A 22,433-nucleotide genomic window follows, 5' to 3' on the forward strand; every position below is an offset into this window, starting at 1 on the left:
CAAAGAAACATTTATTGTCTTCTATGTGCCGGGCACTTTAGTAGACACTGAGGTGAGATGATAAATATTGAGACCCTATCTCCATCATTGAGGTACTCCTAATCTAGCACAGGTGATGAAAACACAGTCAAATAGCCCTAGGGCAGTGTGCCATCAGAGAGAATAATGGAGGCTTGCTAAAGTAGCACTCAGCTAGTGGGGTGGGGGTCTGAAGAGACTTGGTGAGGGACACGGTTGCTTAATTGAGTCTTAAGCATCAACCCTGCTCCCATTCCCAAGCTGTGTTTTGTTACCATTTTTTTTAGATAGGGTCTTGCTATGTTGGCCAGGGCAGTCTCGAACTCCTAGCCTCAAGCAATCCTCTCGCCTCCGCCTGCCAGTGTTGTGATGACAGGCGTGAGCCACCGCGCCTGGCCTCAAACTGTTTTAAACCTCTATTCCTAACTCCCTGTGTGAGCTCAGCAAAATATTGGGCTCTCTGGGCAGCCTCGGTTTCTTTCATCTTCAGAATGGGGGCAGTAATCTCTGAAGTGGGCCCGAGTGTGCTGTGTGCTCTATCTCCCATCTCGCCTGGTCCTATGTCTAACATCAACCCCCATGCGAGGGCATAAGACCAATTTCCTTAAGATACAACGCAAACATGTGGCAGAGCTGAAGAGTACGGAATAATGAGAGATGGAAGGAGTGGAAGCGAGATGGGGTTTCGCGCAAGGGGTGTGGCCCCAAAGGAAGGTGCGGGAAAAGGTAGGGGTTAAACCTCTATTCGGATTTAACCACCTTCCTGGATTTAACCATCTTTCCAAAGCTTCTCCTCTCTAACGTTGAAGCGGGAGCTAAGTAGCAGCAATGGGTTCCCTCCCCACCTCCCCCCCACCCCCGCAACCTTATGCAGCCGATCTTAAGGACCAGGTACTGAGGAATGGGCTGTCCTTTCCGACCTGCACCCCTCAACGATTGGGATCGCTTTAGTTTCTCCCTGGAGTCGAGCATTTGCCTGCACTTAAAAAAAAAAATCCCAAACCTGGACCCCCTTTGGGGAGGGGGTTAACAGTTTCCTTAAGTTTTCTCTAGTCTGAGTAAAGAAGGACTTCCTTCTACTCGTCCTCAACTATCCCCTGGGGCTTCAGCGGGGCGCGAGAGCTCGGGTCTGGGCCGGGGGCCGAGCAGGCTGCGCTGCCCCTCCAGGATTTCCTGCACTCGACGCGGCGAGGCCGGCTCGAACTTCGGCCTCCGACGAAGGCAACTCCGCTTCCCTTTAAAATGCAGCAACTCCCGGCCCCCGCCCCCGCCCCTCGGGCCGCCTCCTCCCCCTCCCCCTCCGCCCCTGCCCAGGCCCCGGCTCCTCCCCGAGCCCTCGGCGTGGGGGCCTCCTTGCCACCTGCCCGCTGCCCATCCCACATGCAAAGCGTGACCGCCGGGGAAGGAAGCCGAGCGCGCGCGCCCACACCGGCCCTGCGCCGCGGCGACAGCGAGCAGCTCGCCTACTCCGTCCGTCTGCGCTTACCCAGCATGCACTTCCAGGCCCTGAGCTATCTCGGAGCCGCAGCCCCGGGGTCAGAGCGGCCGGAAGAAACAGGAAGTTTGGGACGGTCCTAGTCGTGGGGCCGGGAGTCCTAAAAGACAGGCCCTGAACTCCGTGCTGCCTCTCCCTTCCCCCGCTCCCTCCCTCTGGCGGACTTCCCTGGGGTCCGTTTCGGGGGCTGGCCTGAACTCCGAAAATCCAGATGTGTTTGGGGGTCATTCAAGGCACACTCCCAGGGTTCCCTTCGCGGTAGCATCTCCTGGCTTTATGGATCGAGGGGTGGGAGGAGGAGGGAGTGCTCCCGCCCTGGTGGGGTGGTAGTCCCCGAGGGGGCGTTGTCTTCTGCCCGCCGAGAGGGGGAAGGACGCTAGATTGGGGTGGAGGTTGGGGGGCTGGAGATTTGTCTCCCACGGCCAATTCCTGGGCGGATAGGGCAGTGGTTAGAACCTATGGCGGAGTCCGGACTTACTGGCTCTCCTTCCCACTGCCAGTTAGCTTTGCTCTAATCTGCCCTCCACATTGACTTAGGCTGCCCCATTACCCTCAGCACTATCTCACAGACCTGCGCTGCTGCTCACCAGGGGCACCGGGCAAGGGAGCCCCATTCCTAGTGCAGAGAACACAAAGGGCATGCCCTGTTGAAAGTGATCTCCATTCGCACACCCCTTTGGCCAGGCAGGAAGGAGTGGACTCTCACTTCCCTTGGCTTCCCTCTCAGTCCCCACCCTACCTCAGCGTTAGCTAAACCACTGACCCAAGCAACCTCAACTGTCCCCACACGAGCCTCTCGCTGGCCAGTAGCTGAAAGGAGTGTGGGTCATGGTTGATCCCAGTGGGCCATTTTGATCCCAGTATGCCATCTGGCCAATCCTTTTCGGCTTGTGCAGACTAGCCGTTTGGGTGGACATACTCATTCTATAGCTTCACACTCCCAGCCAGGGACTTTTCCCTTCCCGCTCACTAGAGGTTTCCAAGTTCTCCTTGATGTAGTCGACTCATTGCATCTTCCTAGATTTGCTGAGAGGAGGTGGTGGGGAGTGAAGAACTAGGAAGAATATTTTGGAGGTGGAAAACTGTAGATGAAAACTCATTGGCTGTAGAATGAATGTAATGATTGTAAAGTGAGACTGTCATGGCCATCACAGACATTCCCAGGCAGAATTAATTGGGCTTTCCCCTGCGCTCCCATAGATTAGGATTTATACCTCTATTATCACATTGTATTGTAATTATTTGTTGACATGTTTCTCTCCCCCATAGATGGGGAGCTCCTGGAGGGCAGAGACTATGCCTTATTTATCTGTAGACCTCCCTGCACAGATCCTTGCTTACAAAAGAGATATTGAATACATGTACTAGAAATGGAAGGGGATCCAACAGGATGACCTTCAGGACCTCGTTCAGCGCTAATATCCTGTGATGCAACTTAAACATGTGCCCACAGATGTTCTCACGTTCACATAAACACACAAATACACAAAATACCATCATGCCACAGTCGGGGTGTCACTCCTTGGAAAGTGAACAGATGTTACATGATGCCAAGTAAATGGCCTTTTGAAAGTTGAATCTCCAAACCTAAACATCTGAAGTGTCGACAGGCAACGTCACAACTGGTTGGGCTGATTTTGTTTACTGCCCTGACTTTTTAAGCAACCACAGCCCTACATAATAGAAACAGTGAGGATTTGAGCTTGAAAAGGCCCTGAGATGCTCTGGTACAAGTCTTTTCATTTTACAGATGAGAAGGTCCCTGGTCCAAAGTCAGACAGGAGCAGAAATGTCAGTCCTGTAATTCTTGACACTCGGAGCTTGCACGTGTGACACGTTTGTATGCAGACACCTGCCTGAACCTGCACACATGGCTGCTGACATGCATAGACGTGGTTGCATCCCCAACCACGTGTGCCACCACGACACAGGGGTACACCCTTCCCCCAAAACTTACCAAGCAAGTGAAGATGGCCCTATCCCCGTGTAGGGGGAGGCAGGGCTGGCTGCTGCTGATCAGAGAAGGGAAGGCAGGGGTCACCTGGGCTGGGCAGCCCTTGCCAGAGTGTGAAGGGGACCGAGAAGCCCATAGGTTTGCAGCTGTCATTGAATGTGCTCGGCTCACCCAGCTCCCCTCGGCTCTTCTCCGTCTCTCGGTCTGCAGAGGGCGAGGAGAGGAGACGCTCCCGGCTCATTCCAGCGAGCCGTGTGCACGCTGCAGGCGTGGTATGTGAGTAAGCGGCGCGCTTCCAGCTGCTGCCTTATACTTTGAGGGCTGACAGGCCGCCCCCTCCCCGCTAAACAAAACTGTGTAGTGGGGCCGCCCTCACCCACCACTGGCCTCTCTTCACACGGGCATGATTAAGGCAACCAGGACCGCAGCAAGCCCTTCTCAAAAGGAGAGAAATTATGGCTTTTTCTCCACCTCGCCTGACTGCCTTTTCCTAGGGGATCTCCTCTCTCAGACCCACCTCCAACTGGAAATCTACGCAGAGTTAACCCCCTACCTGCCTCAGATAGCCTCACTACAGCACACTCTTGTAACACTCCAGTGGAGAGTTTGCACCCTAACCATGGGTGCCTGCTTATATTTCCCATTAGGGTCCTGTCTCCCACCTCCACCCCATTCAATACTATCATCCCTGTCTTACCTTTGTATAGTGCTTCATAGCTTTCAAAGCACTTTCCCATGCATGTCTTATTTCACCTTTACCACACCTCATAAGGCAAGTATTAGTAGCTTCACTTTAGACACCAGGAGGCTGAAGCTCAGAGAAGATAAGCAAGCTGCCCAAGGTCACACAGTTGATGCATTGGGGTAGAGCAGGTCTACAATCTTCATCTTTGACTACAAAGCACACTCTTTGTCCACTCTGCCACCCTAATGCCCAGTTGATATCCAGCTCCCCAAAAGGAGGGGGCTGTCATTCTGCTTCTTTTTTCTTTTAAAAATTATTATTTTCTGGCCAGGCACAGTGGCTTATGCCTGTAATCCCGGCACTTTGGGAGGCCGAGGCGGATGGATCACTTGAGGTCAGGAGTTCGAGATCAGCCTGGCCAACATGGTGCAACTCCGTCTCTACAAAAATACAAAAATTAGCCAGGCGTGGTGGCGCAGGCCTGTAGTCCCAGCTACTCGGGAGGCTGAGGCAGGAGAATCGCTTGAGGAGGCGGAGGTTGCAGTTAGCCAAGATTGTACCACTGCACTCCAGCCTGGGCAACAGAGAGAGACTCCGTCTCAAAAAAAAAAAAAAAAGTAAAATTATTATTTTCATTTTAGAGACAGGGTCTTGCTATGCTGCCCAGGCTGGAGGGCAGTGACTATTAACAGGTGCAATCATAGCACAGTGCAGCCTCGAACTTGTTTTTCTGCTTCTTTTATACCTCCAGAGCACCTGATATAGGACTGGCTCTGTACATGCTGGGCATTCCCAGGCCAGGGTAACCAGACAGACCCATGATACAACCTGCCAGCGAATCCCGGAAACTCCAGGACAGGAGACACTTGCAGGCTAATGGTGGTGTGCACCACCAGAGTCTTCGGCAGCTCACGGCCCTTCTATCTGCCTTAAGTTGCTGGGGCAGAGAGCAGTGCCAAGGCAGAGAGGAAGGAGAACATCCCTCCGTGTAGACCCCAGCTCTTCCCTCCCCCTCTCCTCTGGGGCTTCAGCGGGTCCGGAGCTCATGAATAAAGCTAATATTGGAACTAGTCGTATACTAGTTGGAGAGGGGCTGTTGTCTAGATCCTCCCTTGCAGGGACGGGTTGTGCCAATAGAATGCCCCGAGGCCCCAGCCCTCTCGTGATGGTTGGCTGGAACTAAGGCACCCCCCTCTCTCGCCCTTTTATGAGTCTCAGCTGATTTCCCTGGAGGGCGGCCCCACTAGCCAGCGCCCCCAACCCGCTACCGGACTCCCTCACTATACCTGGGCCCCGCCCCAACTGTCCTCAGGGGCGGGGCCAGCCCTAGGGCAAGCTGGGGCAGGAAGTGGTTGCAATTACACACACTCCCGCCCCGCACTGGCTGCCACTGCCAGAGTGACAATGCTAACTCGGCCGGCCCCAAACGTCAGGGCAAGGGCTAAGAAGAGGACTCAACCAGAGAAGCTCCTGGGCTGGAACGAAGCTCTTTTCCTGAGAGAAGGGAGTTTCCGAGGTTAGGCTTGGTTGGAAGCCTCAGCGGATTGTTGGTCACATCCAGAGATGAAGGGAGGGGGTCGTGGGTCTCCTTCCCCACCCAGACATGGCAGTCACTCACACCGTCATCTCTTTTTAACCTGGCCACTAGCTGACAGCAGCTTTTCCTAGCTGCTTGGGCCCCCTGCTCGCAACTGCCAAGACAGACAGCTCTGATCCCTCCTACCAGGGGAAGATGGGCTTTGATTCTCTACTACTGCAAACAACCACAGCACAGTGGTTTCTATATCCCCTACTCCTCCTTCGTTTCTTAGGCATTCCCATCTGGGGCGGCTCTGGGCCAGGTGGAGAGCGTGACTGGTATGGCCACAGCTATGGGCTGAGAACCATGTAGAGAGAGGGATGGATGGGGGAATTCGAGAATGTTTGGGTGGGATGACTTCAGAACTCTCTGGGTTGGGCTTTCACTGAAAGCATCATTAGCTCAAAAAATTGGGGCTACATTAGAGGAATGGAGGTAGAAGGGGGCAGTGAAGAAACTGGACAAATGAAAGAAGATACTTTAGGCTGGGCATGGTGGCTCACGCCTGTAATCCCAGCACTTTGGGAGGCCGAGCCAGGTGGATCACCTGAGGTCAGGAGTTCAAGACCAGCCTGGCCAACATGATGAAACCCTGTCTCTAGTAAATAAAAAAAATTAGCCGGGAGTAGTGGAGTGCACCTGTAATCCCAGCTACTTGGGAGGCTGAGGCAGGAGAATCTCTTGAACCTGGGAGGTGGAGGTTGCAGTGAGCCAAGATTATGCCATTGCACTCCAGCCTGGGCAACAAGAGCGAAACTCTGTCTCAAAAAAAAAAAAACAAAAAAACAAAAACTTGAGTATGTGAGGGAATGGGGATGGATGAGTGAAGTAGGTTTCTTAAAAGGCCTAGAAACCCAGTGGATACAGTGGGGGGGCTCTTTTTTTTTTCTTTTTCTTTTGAGACGGAGTCTCGCTCTGTTGCCCAGGCTGGAGTGCCGTGGGGTGATCTCAGCTCACTGCAAATTTTTGTTTTTTTGGGTTTTTTTTGAGATGGAGTTTCGCTCTTGTCACCCAGGCTGGAGTGCAATGGCATGATCTCGGCTCACTGTAACCTCTGCTTCCTGGGTTCAAGTGATTCTCCTGCCTCAGCCTCTCGAGTAGCTGGGATTACAGGTACCACCACACCAGGCTAATTTTTGTATTTTTAGTAGAGACAGGGTTTCACCATGTTGGCCAGGCTGGTCTTGAACTCCTGACCCCAAGTGATCCTCCCACCTCAGCCTCCCGAAGTGCTGGGATTAGAGGCGTGAGCCACTGTGCCTGGCCCAAATTTTAGTATTTTTATTAGAGACAGGATTTCATCATGTTGGCCAAGCTGGTCTTGAACTCCTGACCTAAAGTGATCTGTCCGCCTTGGCCTCTCAAAATGCTGGGATTACAGGCGTGAGCCACCATAGTGGGGAATCCTCTTTTCCCTTCCCCAGCATCTTCTTCTGCAAGCCTAGGTTCCTATGTCTGCACTTTTTGAAGCATGAACTTAGCGCTTACCTCCCAGCTTCAGAGCCCCATTTCACATCCTCCTAATAGCTTCAGGGAACCCTCCTTTCCTTGTTCTATTGAAATTGCCCCCCTTCTCCGGTGGCAGGCCTGCTCAATTTGCTGAGGTGGGCTGGGGCTCACTTTGGGGCTGCCTAAAACGGAGGCTTTCCCCTCCTCACTCTGCAGGAGTCAAAGGCTTGGCATCCCAGCTTGGGGGGCTAGCTGGCCAGCAGTCCTTTTCCCCGGGGTGCCAGGCTCCCTGGAGCCTGGGAAGCTGAGTCATAGGCAACTTCAGGCTCCACAGACAGCACAGCAAGAGAAAGAAGGAGGAAGAAAAAGAAAAGGGTGAAAAAAAAAATACCCGGTCGGGCGCAGTTGTTCACGCCTGTAATCCCAGCACTTTGGGAGGCCGAGGGGAGGTGTGGATTATTTGAGGCCAGGAGTTTGAGACCAGCCTGGCCAACATGGCGAAAACCCGTCTCTAATAAAAATACAAAAATTAGCTTGGTGTGGTGATGCATGCCTGTAATCCCAGCTACTCTGGAGGCTGAGGCAGGAGAATCAGTTGAACCCAGGAGGCAGAGGTTGCAGTGAGCTGAGATTGTGCCACTGCACTCCAACCTGGGCGACGGAGTGAGAGAGACTCCGGAAAGACAGAGAGAAAGAGAGAAAGCGAGGAGAGGGGAGGGGAGGGGAGGAGAGGGGAGAGGAGAGGAGAGGAGGGGGGAGAGAGAGAGAGGGAGCGAGAGAGAGAGAGAGAGAGAGAGAGAGAAGAGAGAGAAAGAGAAAGAGAAAAAAGCCCACCATGATGTTTGTCTGTTAGCAGAGGGCAGGAGGGCCTCCTGGTCCTGCCTTAGCCTTGCTTCACTCGCACTGGAGATAGAGATCACAATCAGAAGATTGTCTTTGAATATGAAGGACGACGACAGGACCCAGGATCAAATAAAGGAATAGGGATGGAAGTGTTTTGTAAACTATTAAGTTGTGTACAGATGTGAGGGATTACTACTATTATTAATATGCATTATAAAATTGCATTTTTCTCCCATGGATCTGGTTTATCCAATAGTGTTCTTTTTTTTTTTTTTTTTGAGACGGAGTCTCGCTCTATCGCCCAGGCTGGAGTGCAGTGGCGCGATCTTGGCTCAGTGCAAGCCCCGCCTCCTGAGTTCACACCATTCTCCTGCCTCAGCCTCCCCAATAGCTGGGACTACAGGCACCTGCCACCAAGCCCGGCTAATTTTTTGTATTTTTAGTAGAGACAGGGTTTCACCGTGTTAGCCAGGATGGTCTCGATCTCCTGACCTCGTGATCCGCCCGCCTCGGCCTCCCAAAGTGCTGGGATTACAGGCGTGACCACCGCGCCCGGCCTCCAATATTCTTCTTCTTCTTTGTCTTCTTTTTTTTTGAGATGGAGTCTCGCTCTGTCACCCAGGCTGGAGTGCAGTGGTGCAATCTCGGCTCACTGCAAACCCCGCCTCCTGGGTTCACGCCATTCTCCTGCCTCAGCCTCCCGAGACGGGGTTTCACCGTATTAGCCAGGATGGTCTCAATCTCTTGACTTCGTGATCTGCCCGCCTCGGCCTCCCAAAGTGCTGGGATTACAGGCGTGAGCTACCACGCCCGGCCCCCAATATTCTTCTTAATGCAGGAGCATGACAGAGGCAGGTTAGCCCTGGGAATTTGGAGCTCCAGGTGAAGCCTTGTGTGTGGGTCTGTGTGTGAGAGAGAGAAAGAGAGAAACATGTCTTGCTGTATCTGTACCCTCAATATCTAGAACAAACCAGAGAAAGGAGCTCAAGTGCTTACTGTCTGCCCATTGAATGGCTGATGGAATGAAATCAGGGAGGGGTGCTCCAACCCTTTGGCCTCCTCTGTTGCTGCTATAGTACTGATTTTGTACAGATGGATCTCAGCTCCTTTCAGCTGCAGGAATCATGTCCTACAAACCCAGTCTCCCAAGTGCTGCTGAGTCCCTGCAAGTCTGTGGCAGCAGGTCACTGTACCCCTGGATGTCTCTGTCACAACTAGAGGCTTGGTGTTCAGAGGCTCAGCACACAGCCAAGGCCATTCACACCACAGATTATTGCTATTTGAGTCTTTTCAAGGGCCTTCAGGATCCTGCAAAGCCTTGGAACCGTTCTGAACATCAATCAACAAACAAATGGGGTCATGGATGGGGAAGCACTTTGTGACCCGCAAAGCCCCATACAAATGTAAGGGATTATTGCATTGTATTGCAAAAAAAAGCATTCCGATTCTTTGAAGATTGTAGTTATATGGGTTTTGGCACGCAGGAGTCTACTGCATTATAAAATGTGTTTGTGTGGGAGTGCCTGTCGTGCGTGTGCATGTTCAGGGTTAGGATCTGTACATAGAAACCTACCTGGCCAAATGGCACATACAAAGGGTCACTTAGACCACACAAAGCCGATATTGGTGAGTTATCAAGAATTCCCTGCCCCTCTATCTTTTTCAATATGCTTTTTTTTTTTTTTTTTTTTTTTGAGACGGACCCTTGCTCTGTCTCCCAGGCTGGAGTGCAGTGGCACGATCTCAGCTCACTGCAACTTCTGCCTCTGGGTTCAAGCGATTCTTCTGCCTCAGTCTCCCGAGTAGCTGGGACTACAGGCGCACGCCACCACACCCGGCTAATTTTTGTATTTTTTTAGTGGAGACGGGGTTTCACCATATTGGCCAGGTTGGTCTCGAACTCCTGACCTCCTGATCTACCGTCCTTGGCTTCCCAAAGTGCTGGGATTACAGGCGTGAGCCACCGCGCCCGGCCTCAATATGCTTTTATATAGGTGCTCTCGTTGGATTCTCCCCACAACACTATGCCACTGTTAAGTTTCCCTGAGTTGAGTTTATTCCAATAAAGTACACAGTGAGCTTGGAGGAATCTACTTTTGAGACTTGCAGGCGCTGAGAACTTCGCCTGGGAGAAATTTTCAGGCAGAGAAAAACATGGTCTGTGTAGGTCCTGGCAGGACACTCCAGACCCATGCCAACTTCCCTCCATTCTCTGTCCCCACAGAGCAGCTCTACAACGCCTCCATGATGACCTCCAGACCAAGAAGAAGGCTCTCTTTCAGTCAGACATTCAGTCAACAAACACATACTGAACGCTTTCCTATTGGTGCCAGGCTTTCTGCTAGGTCCTGGCACTACAGAGATGAAGAAGCCTTCACTGCTCCTCATTCACCCCTCACCTCTCCAGCCACAGGTTTCGTGGCATCTTTCCCCCTTCAAGGCTCGCCTTGATGTTCATTTTATTCTACTAAGCGAAGGCAGGGCTAATGGTTTTGAATCCAGCCTGGTTATTCGGTCTCTGATGGAGCAACAAGGGACCCTTTTGGAGAGGGCAACACTCAGAACATCAAATGGGGCTCTCAGCCATGGGCTGTGGGTATCACAAAACTCCAGAGGAAATGCAAGCCTGTTTAGGTTGCTTTTTGTCCACACCTTTGAAAATTCAGGAGATAAAATCATGCAATCGGCCTTGTGTTGAGACAGCATTTTCACCTCAGCTTCAGGTCTGGAAGGCCTCTCTGGTAAGTCCAGCACAGGCTGTCACATTTTTTGGGGGCAGTTAAGGGGCTCTATTTTTGGCCCCCAAGACATAGCCATGTGCATCCTTAGTGGTGAAATTATTATTATTATTTGAGACAGAGTTTTGCTCTGTTGCCCGGGCTGGAGTGCAGTAGTGCGATCTCGGCTCACTGCAACTTCTGCCTCCTGGGTTCAAGCAATTCTTGTGCCTCAGCCTCTCGAGTAGCTGGGATTACAGGTGCCTGCCACCATGCCCGGCTAATTTTTTGTATTTTTAGTAGAGACGGGGTTGCGCCATGTTGCCCAGGCTGGTCTCGAACTCCTGAGCTCAGGCAATCCACCCGCCTCAGCCTCCCAAAGTCCTGGGATTACAGGCTTGAGCCACCGTGCCCAGCTTTAGTGGTGAAATTCTAGCTAGCTAGAATACTCAGGCAGAATGACATACCAGATTTTGGAATTTTCTTATATTTGTTTTTTTTTTTTTTTTTTGAGATGGGGTCTCGCTTTGTCACCCAGGCTGGAGTGTAGTGGTGTGATCACAGCTCGCTGCAGTCTTATCCTCCCAGGCTCAAGCGATCCTCCCACCTCAGCTTCCCAGGGTAGCTGAGACTACAGGCACATGCAACAATGCCCGGCTAATTTTTGTATTTTTAGTAGAGACAGGATTTTGCCATATTGCCCAGGCTAGTCTTCAACTCCTGGACTCTAGAGATCCTCCTGCCTCAGCCTCTCAAAGTGTTGGGATTACAGGCATGAGCCACTGCACCTGGATGAAATCTGTTTTGTTTTGTTTTGTTTTGTGAGATGGAGTCTTGCTCTGTTGCCCAGGCTGGAGTGCAGTGGTACAATCTCGCTCACTGCAACCTCCGCCTCCTGGGTTCAAGCAATTCTCCTGCCTCACCCTCCCAAGTAGCTGGGATTACAGGCACCCGCCACCACGCCCAGCTAATGTTTTTGTATTTTTAGTAGAGAGATGGTTTCACCATGTTGGCCAGGCTGATCTCGAACTCCTGAGCTCAGGTGATCCACCTGCCTTGGCCTCCCAAAGTGCTGGGATTACAGACGTGAGCCACCGCGTCCAGCCTGGATGGAATTTTTCAATTAAACAAAAAATTTTTTTTCTTTTAGTGACAAGGTCTCATTCTGTCACTCTGTCACTCAGGCTGGAGTGCAGTGATGCGTTCATAGCTCACTGCAGCCTGAAACTCCTGAGCTCAATGATCCTCCCACCTCTGCCTGCTGAGTAGCTAGGACTACAGGCATGGGCCACCACGATTAGATACAGGGTCTCTCTATGTTGCCCAGGCTTGTCTTGAACTCTGAAGGGCTCCACTCTCAAGCAGTCTTCCCACGGCCGCCTCCCAAAGTGCTAGGATTACAGGCATGAGCCACCCTGCCAGGCCGGAATTTTCTAATTTACTAAAGGTTAACCTCCAAATCATTTTTTTTTTGTTTAGATGGTTGGTGTGAAAAATCTAACATGCGTGTGCTCACTTTCTGGATTGTCAGTAGAGTCTACTGAGCAACTTGATGGAATCTCTCTTTGTTGAGTGAGTGTCTGGCAGGGATTTGCAATCAATGGATCCCAAACTGGGATCCAACCCATAAAAGTCTGTAGGAAAGTCTATGAATTATGTTTGGTATTTTATAGTCTAGTGAAACCATACATGAACCTGGATGAAGCCTCACAGGTTAATGACAACATCAAGTGATTTTTGGCTTTGGCTGAGATTATATGACTTCAATGTGGCTAGCTCAGGCTGATCTAATGTTCTGATGCAGTTTTATATGTATCTTATAAATTTTTAACTGACAAATTAAGCATTACTTGGAAATATATCCTGTTTAAGTAGATAAGTATTTGGGACACGGAGGGGATAGGAGCACAGACTCTGAAGCCAGACTTTATGGGTTTTCTTTTTTTTGGAGACAGGGTCTCACTTTGTCACCCAGGCTCGAGTGCAGCGGCATGATCATGGTTCACTGCAGCCTCAACCTCCTGAGTTCAAGCAATTCTCCTGCCTCAGTACCCCAAGTAGCTGGTACTACAGGCACACGCCACCACACCAAGCTAATTTTTGTATTTGTTTTTTTAGAGACAGGGTTTCACCACGTTGGCCAGGCTGGTCTTGAACTCCTGAGTTCAAGGGATCTGCCTGCCTTGGTCTTCCAACGTGTTAGGATTACAGGCATGAGCCACACACCTGGTCAACTTTCTGGATTCTAATCCTGACTTCAAATTTACTAGCTATTGGCCAGGTGTGGCAGCTCATACCTGTAATCCTAACACTTTGGGAGGCCAAAGAAGGAGAGCACTTGAGCCCAGGAGTTTGAGACCAACCTGGGCAGCATAGTGAAACTCCGTTTCTTAAAAAAAAAAAAAAAATCTTACTAGGTGGGAATGCATAAACAAATTGTGGTATATCCATACAATGGAATATTATTCAGCTATATAAAGGAAAAAAGTACTGATATGTGCTATAACATGGAGGAAACTCAAAAACATGCACAAGAAGCCAGATACAAAAGACCACATATTATATGATTCCATTTAACTTTTCTCTCTTTTTTTTTTTTTGTTTTGAGACAGAGTTTCGCTCTTGTTGCCCAGGCTAGAGTGCAATCGTGCAATTTTGGCTCACTGCAACCTCCACTTCCCAGGTTCAAGTGATTCTCCTGCCTCAGCCTCCCAAGTAGTTGGGAATACAGGCATGTGCCACCACGCCCAGATAATTTTGTATTTTTAGTAGAGACAGGGTTTCACCATGTTGGTCAGGCTGGTCTTGAACTCCTGACCTCAAGTGATTCACCCATCTCAGCCTCCCAAAGTGCTGGGATTACAGGCGTGAGCCACCGCGCCTGGCCCTATTATTCTTTTTAATTTAAAAAATTAAATATAGAGATGGAGTCCTTTTTAAAATTCTATTTTAAAATTAATTTGTTTTTATTTCAATAGATTTTTGGGAAACAGGTGGTGTTTGATTACATGAATAAGTTCTTTAGTGGTGATTTCTGAGATTTTGGTGCACCCATCACCCAAGCAGTGTACACTGTACCCAATGTGTAGTCTTTTATTTCTCACCTCCATCCCACCCTTTCCCCCGAGATGCTGTACCCAATGTGTAGTTTTTTTTGTTTTGTTTGTTTGTTTGTTTTTTGAGATAGTCTCACTCTGTCACCCAGGCTGGAGTGCAGTGGTGCGATCTCAGCTCACTGCAACCTCCATCTCCTGGGTTCAAGTGATTCTCCTGCCTTAGCCTCCCTAGTAGCTAAGACTACAGGCACACGCCACCACACCTGGCTTATTTTTGTATTTTTAGTAGAGACAGGGTTTCACCATGTTGCCCAGGCTGGTCTCCACTCTTGATCTCAAGTGATCAGCCCACCTCTCCCAAAGTGCTGGGATTACAGGCATAAGCCACCACACCCGGCCAATGTGTAGTCTTTTATCCCTCACCTCCCTCCCACCCTTTCCCGAGACCCAAAAGTCCTTTGTATCATTCTTATGCCTTTGCATCCTCATAGCTTAGCTCCCACTTGAGTGAGAACATATGATGTTTGGTTTTCCATTCCTGAGTTACTTCACTTAGAATAATGCTCTCCAGTTCCATCCAGGTTGCTGCAAATGCCGTTATTTTGTTCCTTTTTATGGCTGAGTAGTATTCCATTGTGTGTGTATGTATATATATAGATACACATTCACAATGTTTTTTTTTTTTTAGACAGTCTTGCTCTGTTACTCAGGCTGGAGTGCAGTGGTGCGATCTCAGCTCACTGCAAGCTCTGCCTCCAAGGATCAAGCGATTCTCGTGACCTAGCCTCTTGAGTAGCTGTGGATTACAGGCATGTGCCACCACATCTGGCTAATTTTTGTATTTTTAGTAGACACGGGGTTTTGCCATATTGGCAAGGCTGGTCTCGAACTGCTGGCCTCAAGTGATCTGCCTGCCTCGGCCTCCCAAATTGCTGGGATTACAGGTGTGAGCCACTGTACCCAGTATATATATACATATATATATCACAATTTCCTTATCCACTCATTGATTGATGGGCATTTGGGCTGGTTCTGTATTTATGCAATTTCGAATTGTGTTGCTATAAACATGCCTGTGCAAGTATCTTTTACGTATTTTTTTTTTTTTTTTGAGATGGAGTCTTGCTCTGTCTCCCAGGCTGGAGTGCAGTGGCGTAATCTCGGCTCACTGCAACCTCCGCCTCCCGGGTTCACGCCATTCTCCTGCCTCAGCCTCCCGAGTAGCTGGGACTACAAGCTCCCGCCACCACGCCCGGCTAATTTTTTGTATTTTTAATAGAGACGGGTTTTCACCATGTTAGCCAGGATGGTCTCGATCTCCTGACCTCGTGATCTGCCCGCCTCGGCCTCCCAAAGTGCTGGGATTACAGGCGTGAGCCACCGCGCCTGGCTTTTTTTTTTTTTTTTTTTTTTTGAGATGGAGTCTCTCACCCAGGCTGGAGTGCAGTGGCATGATCTCAGCTCACTGCAAGCTCCGCCTCCTGGGTTCAAGCGATTCTCCTGCCTCAGCCTCCTGAATAGCTAGGATTACAGGCATGTGCCACCATGCTCAGCTAACTTTTGTATTTTTAATAGAGATGGGGGTTTCACTATGTTGCCAGGCTGGTCTTGAACTCCTTACCTCGTGATCCACCCGCCTCAGCCTCCCAAAGTGCTGGGAGTACAGGCATGAGCCACTGGGCCCAGCTAGTATGACTTCTTTTCCTCTGGGTAGATATTCAGTAGTGGGATTGCTGGATCAAATGGTAGTTCTACTTTTAGTTCTTTAAGGAAAGAGGTGGAGTCTTGCTATATGGCCCAGGCTGGTCTTGGACTCCTGGCCTGAAGTGATCCTCCTGTCTTGGCTTCCCAAAATGCTGGCATTACAGGCTTGAGCCACTGTGCCTGGCCTATGATTCCATGTAAATGAAATATCCAGAATAGGTAAATCCACAGAAACAGAAAGAAGATAGCTAATTGCCAGAGGTTGAGGGGAGGGGGAAACAAGGAGCAAGTGCTTGACAGGTAGGGAGTTTCATTTTGGGGTGATGAAAACAATTTGGAACTAGAGAGGTAGTGGTTGTACAGCACTGGGAATGTACTAAATACCAGTGAATTTTACACCTTAAAGTGTTTTTTTTTTTTTTTTTTTTTTTTTTTGAGAAGCAGTCTCAATCTCTTGCCCAGGCTGGAGTGCGGTGGCACGATCTCGGCTCACTGCAATCTCCGCCTCCTGGGTTCAAGTGATTCTCCTACCTCAGCCTCCCGAGTAGTAGCTGGGACTACAGGCACCTGCTGCCACGCCCAGCTAATTTTTGTATTTTTAGTAGGGACAGGGTTTCACCATATTGGCCAGGCTGGTCTCAAACTCCTGACCTTGTGATCTGCCCGCCTCGGCCTCCCAAAGTGCTGGGATTACAGGTGTGAGCCACTGCACCCGGCAGTTAATTTCATATGAATTTGACTTCAACTGACTAAAAATGTGCTAGTTGGACAAGCTTGGGCAAGTCACTGAATCTCTCTGTACCTGAATTTCTTCATTTATAAAAGGGGAAAGATATAGTATCTACATTATGGGGTTGTTATGAGTATTAAATAAGCTAATATTTGTAAAATCCTTTGATCAGTGTCTGGCACATACTAAGTGACATATAACTGTGTCAAATGGGGTCCATGAAGGGAAAGAAATAATAAAAACCCTCGGTAGTGAAACGTTTGGGGATCTATGGTAAAGACGAAAAGGAAAAAAGTGCTTAATGTCCTTCAAGATGTAGTCCCAGAACCCACTGGTTCTAGAATTTACTGTAGAGACTGTTTGAAATGCAAAGTACGAGGCACCACCCCAACCTATTCAATAAAACCCTAAGTGGGACAGTGTCTTGGAATGTAAATTTTAAGGAGCTGTCCTGGGTGATTGTGATGTACATTAAAGTTTGAGAAAATTTGGTAAGAGTATAGACTGAATGTGTGCTAAAGGCAGAACATTCATTACCTAGATTGTAAAGAAAAGAAAAAAAATCCAAATCCCAGGTTTTACCTTGTTTTTAAATCATCTTTTAACTTTCAGCACAAAATGGACAATTCCTGTGGAGCTCTTGCAGTTTAATGAGCAAGAACAGACACACAAGAATACATATAAACACACATCACACACACACACATACCACACACACATACACAGAGAGAGAGAGAGAGAGAGAGAGAGAGAGAGAGAGAGAAAGCCGAAATAAGAATGGTATCTTTACTGAGTTATCTATAGCTCGTGACACTATGTGCTTACTCTCTGCTGTTAATGCTGGAAGCTCTATGCTGGGCCACGTGGAGGACACAGGAAAACGTGGCCCTTGCTGTCCAGATATTTACAAATTCTAAGAGACAAGATGGCTACACTGGGGTGTCTGTGGGTGGTTGGTTTGAGAAGTGTGGTGTGTGTGGGGACAGAGGATTGATAGAAGGCATGGTGGGCAGGACTTGAGGGGACCCATGCTCCTACTGCTCCTCGTGAATGCCTACTTGTCAGTCAATCCCAAAGTATTCATGGAGTGCGGTCTGCGCAAATGCTGCCAGGCATTATGGGGAATGCTGACTTCTATGACAAGGTGCCTGCTCTCAGATGGGGCCATCTAACTAAGGCACAGGCACAGAAGAGTGCTAAACTGTGCACTACTTACCTACGGGGCCAAGAGTTCAGGGACGAGAGGACTTCTCAGAGGCAAAGGCATTATCCTAAAGCTTCATGTAGGTGGGGCTCAAAGGATTTGGCCAGGTGGAGGGGAGCTCAGGTGTAGGTACATGAAACAGATCAAGAATGATGTAAGTGGGTTCTGCAAGGCACCTCAGTCCCTGCTAACATCCCTAAGCCTGTACAGAATCACCACCACAGCAAGTGAAAAGCAGTACCCCAAAGTCAGTGGAATTTGTTGAGTACCCACTAACGTGGGCCACTAAAATGGGTGCTGTTCTTCAATATTTAGCCTCTTTGGGGCAAGAGGTAATAATTTTGCTGAAAGTTCTTGCTAAATTTTATTCTATTCTCCTTCCCAAAAATACATCTCTTTTTCTTTATGTTCAGGTTGTGGGTTTTATTCCTAGGCTTAAATGAAGCAGGCGCTCTCAAGTTCTGAACTTTAAAAATTCCTTATTTTTTTAAACTACTATGGAGCATCTACTGGGTGCCAGGCACTGTTCTAAGTGCTTAACATACAAGAACTCATGTGATCTTTATAACGTTTGCTTCTTCTTCTTCTTTTTTATATACAGAGATGAGTTTCACCATATTGCCCAGGCTGATCTTGAACTCCTGACTTCAACTGTTCCCCCCGCCTTGGCCACACAAAGCATTGGGATTACGGGCTTCAGCCACCGCGCCTGGCCCTTATAACGTTTTCAGGAGGTACTTATTAGCCCCCATTTCACAAATGAGGGAATTGAGGCTCAGAGAAAAGTATGCAAGGCAATAGCGCTAGGAAGTGGTGGAGCCAGTATTCAAACCATGTCTGTCTAACTTCAGAGATTGTGTGCTTAATCACTGAGTGGGAAGAGAAAGACTAAAAGAGACCCAGACTTTAAAATGAGTCTTTGGCAAGAAGGGAAGTCAAGTCTGGGCCTCAGCTTCTCCACTGTAAAACAAGTCCTACTATGTGCCAAGGTGGGAGGTCTTGGGGGGAGATGAAGGAGGCTGTGATACACAGATGAGAAATACTGAGTCCTTTTATCCAAGGAACTTAAAATCTAGTCGGAGAGATAGACAGGCAGAGTGTGGAAGTGCTAACTAAAGGGACAAGCTAAAAACTGTGGGGGTGCCCCAGAGGAGCAGCCAACTTCCATAGGGAGGGTGTGGGTGTCAGGGAAAGGGGCATGAGAGAATGGTCTTTTGTTTGTTTGTTTGTTGTTTGTTGTTTGAGACAGAGTCTTGCTCTGTCGCCCAGGCTGGAGTGCAGTGGCAAGATCTCAGCTCACTGCAGCCTCTGCCTCCCAGGTTCAAGCAATTCTCCTGCCTCAGCCTCCCAAGTAGCTGGGATTACAGGCGTGTGCCATTACACCTGGCTAAGTTTGGTATTTTAAGTAGAGACGGGGTTTTGCCATGTTGCCCAGGCTGGTCTCGAACTCCTGACCTCAAGTGACCCACCCACCTTGGTCTCCCAAAGTGCTGGGATTACAGGCGTGAGCCGCCACACCCAGATGAGAGAGCTGTCTTGAGTAACGGTTGAGTGAGATTTCAATAAGCTGAGAAAGACATATAAAAAGCTGTGGGAGGGGGCAGGTGGGAGGGGCCAGGTGCGATGGCTCACGCCTATAATCCCAGCACTTTGAGAAGCCAAGGTGGGTGGATCATGTGAAATCAGGAGTTCGAGACCAACCTGGCCAACATGGTGAAACCCTGTCTCTACTAAAAATACAAAAATTAGCTGGGTGTGGTGGCACGTGCCTGTAATCCCAGCTACTAGGGAGGCTGAGGCAGGAGAATCGCTTGAACCCAGGAGAAGGAGGTTGCAGTGAGCCAAGATCACGCCATTGCATTCCAGGCTGGGCGACAAGAGCAAAACTCCATCTCAAAAAAAAGCAAGCAAACAAACAAACAAAAAAACCTGTGGGAGGCCACTATGGTGGCTCACACCTGTAATCTCAGCACTTTAGGAGGCGAAGAGGGAAGGATCACTTGAGGCTAGGAGTTCAAGACCAGCCTGGGCAACACAACGAGAACTCAAGAACTCATTTGTGCAATTTTTTTTTTTGAACAAAGTTTTGCTCTCTTTGCCCAGGCTGGAGCACAATGGCGTGATCTTGGCTCACTGCAACCTCCACCTCCTGAGTTCAAGCGATTCTCCTGCCTCAGCCTCCTGAGTAGCTGGGATTACAGGCACCTGCCACCATGCCTGGCTAATATTTGTATATTTAGTAGAGATGGGGTTTCACCATGTTGACCAGGCTGGTCTTGAACTTCTGACCTCAGGTGATCCACCCGCCTTGGCCTCCCAATGTGCTGGGATTACAGGTGTGAGCCACCACGCCCAGCCTCATCTGTACAATTTTTTTAAGTGTTTAAAAAAAAAAAAAAGCTGAGGAAGCAGAGCTGACAAAATGGATGGCTTATCCAAGGAATGCCGAGGGGGCCAGTCAGGTCAGAAAAGAGGGCTTGTGAGAGACATGGAAGGAAAGGAGGCTAGAACTAGATCAGGGAGGGCCCTAAAGGCTAGGTGAAGGCTCATGGACTTGATTTTGTTGGCAGTGGCCAACCATAGCCAGTTTTTCAGGAGGGCAGATTTCTTAGAATCCCTTCCACTTCTAGCACTGCATGTTTGATTAAGAACTTTGTTGGCTGGGCGCGGTGGCTCACACACCTATAATCCCAGCATTTTGGAAGGCCAAGGCTGGAGGATCACTTGAGCCCAGGAGTTCCAGACCAGCCTAGGCAACATTGCAAGACCACGCCACCACCACCCCCTCTAATGTTAAAAAAAATAATAATTTTTAAGAAAGAACTTTGTTTAGAGCCTAGGAGTCTCAGGGAAGAGGAGAGTGGTCAGCAAGCTGAAGGGCTTGACCCGGTGAGGCCTCTGGGTTGATTTCAGCCCCTTTCCTCATTTTCACTCCTTTGGCTATAAAATCCAAAAAAGTTGTTGGTTGTTTACAGAGTTCAGTTTAACCGGACATGCTGTCTCCCCATCCACACCTGGGGCTCTAAGAGGGCAGAGACCAGGCCATTTGTTCTCTGGGAGCCAGCACTTAGTATCCAGTACTCTGTAGGCAGCTGGAATGTATCTACCTTAGCAACCCTTCTTGCAAAAAAGGCTCATGCCTTTGAAATTTACTAATAACAAATAGAGGCAAAGACTCCTCCCCTACCCCGCTTGTCCTCTGAAACATAAAGTGAAACACTAGAGAGCTCACAGTGTAACACATGTAACACATGGTCACTCTTTCCTGCAGTTTGCACAGCTCTTTCTGTTCCCCCGCACCCCCCCGCCCCACAACCCGTTCCCTTTCAAGACGGGTAACTTAGAATGAGCCCTTTGGCAGTCCTGAGAGCCTAACTTCCAAAACTAACTTCACCTTCAATTGATTGAGGTGCAGGGAACAAAGGGACAACTAGAAGCTTCAAATTTGCTTCATTCTATAACTCTAAAGATCTAAACCACTGGAATTTTTTTTTGGGCGGGGAGGAGGTGGGGGCATAGGGCTGAGCTGTTTTACCAGCGAGACAAGGGCTCTGATCACAGAACAAAGCAGAGGATTAAACTAATTGCCCTATGGATTTAGTTAGAGGTTGGTTTGGGGCCTAAATTACCCTGGGACCCCCCAGATGTCCTGCTTTATCTAGTAAGTTTCAGGAGGGCAGGGCCCAGGCCCATGTCACCCTTAGGTCTCTGTGCTACACCTAGGGAGGTTGGTGATGCTGACACTGATAACTCCTGCATGGTCGGGCACGGTGGCTCACACCTGTAATCCCATCACTTTGGGAGCCCGAGACTGGAGGATCGCTTCAGTCCAGCAGTTCAAGACCAGCTGGGTAACATAGCAAGACCTCGTCTCTACTAAAAATGAAAAAATTGGCTGGGCGTGGTGGTGCATGCTGTAGTCCCAGCTACTTGGGAGGCTGAGGCAGGAGGATCGCTTGAGTCCAGGAGTTTGAAGTTGCAGTGAGCCATGATTGCCCCACTGCACTCCAGCCTGGGCAGCAGAGTGAGACCCTGTCTCAAAAAAATCCCCAAAAACCAAAAGCAAAAAAACTCCAGCATGAATCCATTAGTTTATGGTATACAAAACTCTTTCCTGTCCATACCTCATTGCTCACGGGATGTTCCTGTGAGGGAGGTAGGGCAGGTGCATTGATATCCATATTTAAGAGGTAAAGAGAAGACCCAAAATACAGTCCGTAGTATCAGGCTGGCACTACTCAGTCAAATGTCAGGGATTGCTTGAGGTCCCATTGCTAGCTATGGATAAGGAAGGACTAGGACCTGGTTCTTAGAACTTTCCCAAACAACCCTCTTTCCATTACACCAAGCTGCCTCTCTGAGAGTCCAGGCCTGGGTCAGTAGATGTTACTGATGGGAGAAATAATTAAGAAAAGCAATCTGCGTGAAAAAGACTATTTTGGCATTACATGGAGGCGCTATACCATACTGAAAAGAACCCTGGATGTAGAGTTAGAATTACTGGGGTTGAGTCCTGGCTCAGGAACTCACTAGCCATGCAATCTTGAGCAAGCCACTCACAGATGCACATAGACTCAGTTTCCTCAATTACAACATGGAGAGTTATAGTGAGAAACAAATGAAATAACACAAGTGAAAGAGTTTTGTAAACAATCCAATGCTGTACAAAGGTAGGTATTATTATTATGGTTATGTCATGGTTCTAGCCTCAAATAAAATAATCATTAATATCTACATTCTTCGCAAGGTTTCCCACAGCTCTCCCCACCCTGCTCCTTGGTTTCTCATCATCTCCTGTAGGGCAGGAAGCCTGGCCCCCAACAGGAAAGGGCTCAGAGGAGCTAGAGCTTCAACCAGGAAATAATCATCTTGCCCCAACCTTCGTTTCGCCAGATAAATGAGGCAGCCAAATGGTGAGACACAGACTAGTGCAAATCGAGGTGTTCAGGATCTGTTTCGGCCTCAAACCAAGGAGCAAAGTAGCCCTAAAGCCCTAAGG

General features: G+C 49.1%; 1 annotated feature.

The window, feature by feature from the left end:
* Positions 3,130 to 3,630: an enhancer, noted in NCBI's record as "H3K4me1 hESC enhancer chrX:129093062-129093562 (GRCh37/hg19 assembly coordinates)". NCBI's record gives its function as "activates a minimal SCP1, AML or CMV promoter by ChIP-STARR-seq in naive H9 embryonic stem cells {active_cell/tissue: H9 hESC(naive)}" and the evidence as "EXISTENCE:reporter gene assay evidence [ECO:0000049][PMID:30033119]".

The sequence above is a fragment of the Homo sapiens genome, chromosome X, assembly GCF_000001405.40.
Source record: "Homo sapiens chromosome X, GRCh38.p14 Primary Assembly".
Lineage (NCBI taxonomy): Eukaryota > Metazoa > Chordata > Mammalia > Primates > Hominidae > Homo > Homo sapiens.